This window comes from Homo sapiens, chromosome 9 (genome assembly GCF_000001405.40).
Source record: "Homo sapiens chromosome 9, GRCh38.p14 Primary Assembly".
Lineage (NCBI taxonomy): Eukaryota > Metazoa > Chordata > Mammalia > Primates > Hominidae > Homo > Homo sapiens.
The window spans coordinates 13,369,058-13,373,664 of NC_000009.12; the positions used below are offsets into that span (position 1 = coordinate 13,369,058).

At 34.1% G+C, this 4,607-nt stretch overlaps 1 annotated feature.

Moving 5' to 3' along the window:
- Positions 357–862: an enhancer, noted in NCBI's record as "OCT4-NANOG hESC enhancer chr9:13369413-13369918 (GRCh37/hg19 assembly coordinates)". NCBI's record gives its function as "activates a minimal SCP1, AML or CMV promoter by ChIP-STARR-seq in primed H9 embryonic stem cells {active_cell/tissue: H9 hESC(primed)}" and the evidence as "EXISTENCE:reporter gene assay evidence [ECO:0000049][PMID:30033119]".

Consider the following 4,607-nt stretch of genomic DNA (forward strand, 5'->3'; position numbering starts at 1 on the left):
AATGTAAAACAAACATGAGCAAACCCTGACCTATGGCAGGAAGTTTTCTATCACTGTTAAGGAAATTTTTGCAGAAGAACCATTACATTTAAAGGAATGTCAGACAATGTCCGCTCCTCATGGAATGCAATGAGTTACAAACTGTACTTAAAAGAACATCTTCTATACTTAAAGTTTAGGCAATTGCTTTTATGTGAAACAAGCCCCAGGAGGGCTCTGTTTCTTAGAATCATCAGTTTCATTTTAGTCTGCACAAACATTTCATAGGAGAATTATCATTAGGGAATTGGAAAAAATATGTCCTTTTCATCATGTGATTTCTTTTTAAAAAAAGAGTTGCTTCCATCTTGTAAGGAATGTTAGTTTTATATCAGAACTCAAATTTTTACATGGGAACAAAGCCCTAATTTTATTACTACAAAATGAAAAGCAATAAGGAGAAATTCGCTTTCATTTACTATTTAGAGAGCATACCCCTTCCATAAAGGAAGGTGTACCCGCATAGCAATAAAGGCAGAGAGCAGCATTGGTAAACCTCCCTCAGTTCCGGTTCTCAGGACCACAGTGAGCAATGCACAATAGAAATGCCTTTCAAGTTGTTGCAGCTGCTCTGCTCTATGGAGCACCCACTGAGTTAAAGGACAGACACTCCACATACATGGGAAATCCTCAGGGTCCAAAGCCTAATTAATTTCCTGAAATCGATGAAAAATGGTAGAATCATGTGTATAAAGTACATATCAATTTTGGAATTTAAAAACAGCTTAAAAGTAAATTGCACACACTTTATTTTGTTCTTTTCCTGTGTTCACACACTGCCTAACGATTCAACTTAAATGCAACCTAAACATTTTTGCCTCACAGTTTGGCTTCAGTTACTTCACAGTTTTGTGTAGTTTGGCACACTTGAAGTTGGGTTTCATTGTAATTTGTTGTTATGTAGGTTGCAATGTAGGCATACCATTTCTGCACATGTTCTCTTCATTTCTTTCTCTCTTCTAAAAGAGAGAACAATGTTTAATGAGAATAAAAAATAAATAGAAAAGGATCTTGCACAGTTTGGGGGCAACTTTTTTGATTTTCTGCTAAAACAGTTTTACAGAGACTTGGCAGACTATACAAATATGAGATTAGATTTCATTTTCAAGTCTTTCTTTCTCCTTAATTGAAGCATCCAAATATAAAAATGTCTAGGCATGGACATCATCTCTATAATGTCTGTCCAATTTAGAATATATATATATAATTTTTTTTCTGGGAGACGCTGGGGGAGATAATGCTCCTAGAATTTCCTTCCCTTTGGAAACCCTAGTGGAGGACCACATTTATCACTAGGAGTTAAGAAAGATCTAGTCAGAGATGCTGCTGCTGGTTGCTTCCTGTTTCATCCTGTAAAAGAACAGGGCTAATCCACCCCAACATGCTAGAAATATGTAAAAAGGCTCTGAGATATTTGCATTTCATCTCTAAATTCCATTCAGATAAACTTAATTTGCTTTCTCTATCATTGCGTGATAATTTTCATGACTTTTTTTTTCCTTTGGGTTTTATAACTGTTCTCAGCCTAGTCCTTGACTGCTTGGACTTGCTAGTATGATTTAACATCAGTAACCCTTTGGAATATAGCTTCCAGTACTTGTCCTTCATCTCTGTGTCCCCACTAGTACATCATATTTATCATAATGTGGCTTAGTGAATTAAAATGAGTCTGATGGAGAGAAGAGAGTGTGAAGCATTCACTTACCTTAGAGGAATAAACCTCTCATATTGTCTCACAGTAGGAGAATCCATATGCCGTGGGTAATTCTGAGACTTCAGCAATTTCTTGGTCCCCAGGACATCCACTGAAATATATTTATCAGCAATTTACTTTTAGTAAGAATTGGGATTTAAAAAAATTATTATGAGTACATAATAGCTATATGTATTTATGGGATACATGTGATGTTTTGATACAGGCATACAATGTGTAATGATCAAATCAGAGTAATTAAGGCATTTATCACCTCAAGCATTTATCATTTCTTTGTGTTAAGAACATCCCAATTCTACTCATTTAGTTATTTTAAAATATACAATAAATTATTGTTACCCGTAGTTATCCTATCATGTTACCAAATACTACATCTTATTTATTATATCTAACTGCATTTTTATACCCATTAACCATCCTCTCATTTTCTCCCCTTTCCCACTACCCTTTCTATCCTCTGTTAACCATCATTCTACTCTCTATTTCCATAAGTTCAATTTTTAAAAACTTTAGCTTCCACGAATAAGTGAGAATATGTGAAATTTGTCTTTCTTTGCTTGGCTTATTTCACTTAACATAATGTTCTGGTTCCATCCGTGCTGTTGCAAATGACAAGATTTCATTCTTTCTTATGGCAGAATAATAGAGAATTGTAATGCTTTCTTGAGCTCCCTCCTTTGTACAAAACTGGCAACGAACATTCCAATAACTGTCATGAAAGCTGTGAATCTTTCCTTTGCTCTGGGATTTGTGCTGGTTCATGGGGAGTTGGTAGGTGGCGGAGATCCCTTGAGTTTTAGAATGCAGAATTAGAAATCTATTTCACTGGGTAATTCCAAAGCACTCAGAGTGATGTAGGAGTTCCATAATGCCTCCTAAAGTTATCAAGTTTCCTGATTTTCTCTGTAACATAAAATGTGGTCTTCTTTGAATATTCTTGGGATGTCCTGGCTACATTTTAGCATGAAAATTCATATCTTATCAATTCTAACTCATCTGTATTTTCATATTTTAACCTCTCTGAAATGGAAAGTGTCTGATTGGTACATTACAGTTTGATTGCCAGTATTTTCTTGTTCTTAGTGGTACATCAAATCAATGTTCCAGTTTACAATCAAAGTCATCTTAGATTCAAAAAGTTACAATACACCTTTGTGAGAGTACCTTCAAAGAGCTCTTACTTTTCAAATCTGGAATTCAGTAGGAAGCACAGCCCTGGCTGTCTGTCTCTGTATTCCATTCTCCAAAGCAAAAAAAAAAAAAAAAAAAAGAAAAGAAAAAATAAAGGAAGAAAGTAAAATGATCTTAAAATAAATCAAGGAAAAGCACAAATACACAAATATTTCAAAAACATAACATTTCAATTTATTTTCATTTACTACGAGCTGTTGGTCTGAGAGCTCTTTTTCTTTTAAGCTTACTTCAAGTGTCTGTAATAAATGAGGTCTCCATTTGCAAATACTAAGCCATGGTAGTAAAAAAGCTGCTGAAGTATCATTAATCTTCGCTTCCAAGAAACAACACCTCCTGAATTGGATTCATGCATTTGATGTGATCAATTGTTGCAATAGTGAAAGTGTCTGAAATTCTGAATCAGCTGTGCCATGACTTAGTTATACTAGAGTCATGATATCATTAAACAAGTCATTGTTCCAAAGATAGCTTATACATTAGATTATCTTCAAATATTCACAGAGATCCTAGCATAGCTCTCTATTGTTTGCTAGGGTCCCTCCATATTTAATATTTGTTAATATCTGGGTTTGGCTTTGAGTAAAGTTGGGAATTATTGGGCATAACCACCTTGAATCCTTCATGGCCACTGACCAAGCAGTAATGGAAAATGGGAACCATGAAATAAAAATCTCATCAACACAGTGAAATCCGTTCTTCTCTCTATATATAAACCTCATGTGTTGGCTTTGGCAGCAGTTTGAACTTTGTCATTCCAATAAAGTTCCTGAAATTCACTGGATATCACTTCTTTTACAGGAAAACATCTGCAAGGGTATTTATCTGGTTATAAACAAAAATATTTCTTATTTTTTCAAGTGATCTATCAGAAGTATTTATTTATATTTGCAATGTACATTATTGGCCCATCACAAAAATCTGTAAACACGTACACATGATTAAAACATCCTTTATATGTTTAAAAATATACCAACTAGAGAAGCATCCATAATGCTGTCTACCTCAGACCATTTTCATTATACTGTTGAATCTTACTTAGTTGAAGAGAGAACAGCTTTTAAACTGTCTTTGGGGAAATTTAGTTAAAACTTTCCACTCAAACTTCATTCAGCAGACTTTGCGGTTTAAATCTTTGAACACACACACAATGCACACATACACACTTACATATATATATATTTAAGATGAAATATATATTTACATATATGTTTAAGATGAAACTTTTTCACATTTCTAACATTACAATTAGATGCATCTTACAATCAATGGTAAGACGTAGTTGAATTGGCAGTGTTTTTTTTTTTAATTTGAGAAAATAATGTGGAGTCTTAAAACTAATGCTATCTCACGTGAAATACAGGAGGTGATGATAACTACCATTTATTGCTTATGCGGTCTCAGGCACTGTTGCAAGCACCTTGCATACCTTATTTAATATTTACAACTACCCTACAAAGTAAGTATTATTAGATAATTTTTACAGATGAGGAAAGTAAAGCCTGGATAATTTGAGTATACTTGCCCATGCCACTAATTTTAAATGTTAGGTTTTGAATGCAGGTACGCGTGGTACCAAAGCTTGATCTGTTAAGAGTTGCTTAACAATACAGAGAATCAATGTAAAAAACACCAACTTACGTTCATTTTTGCCTAAAAGCCT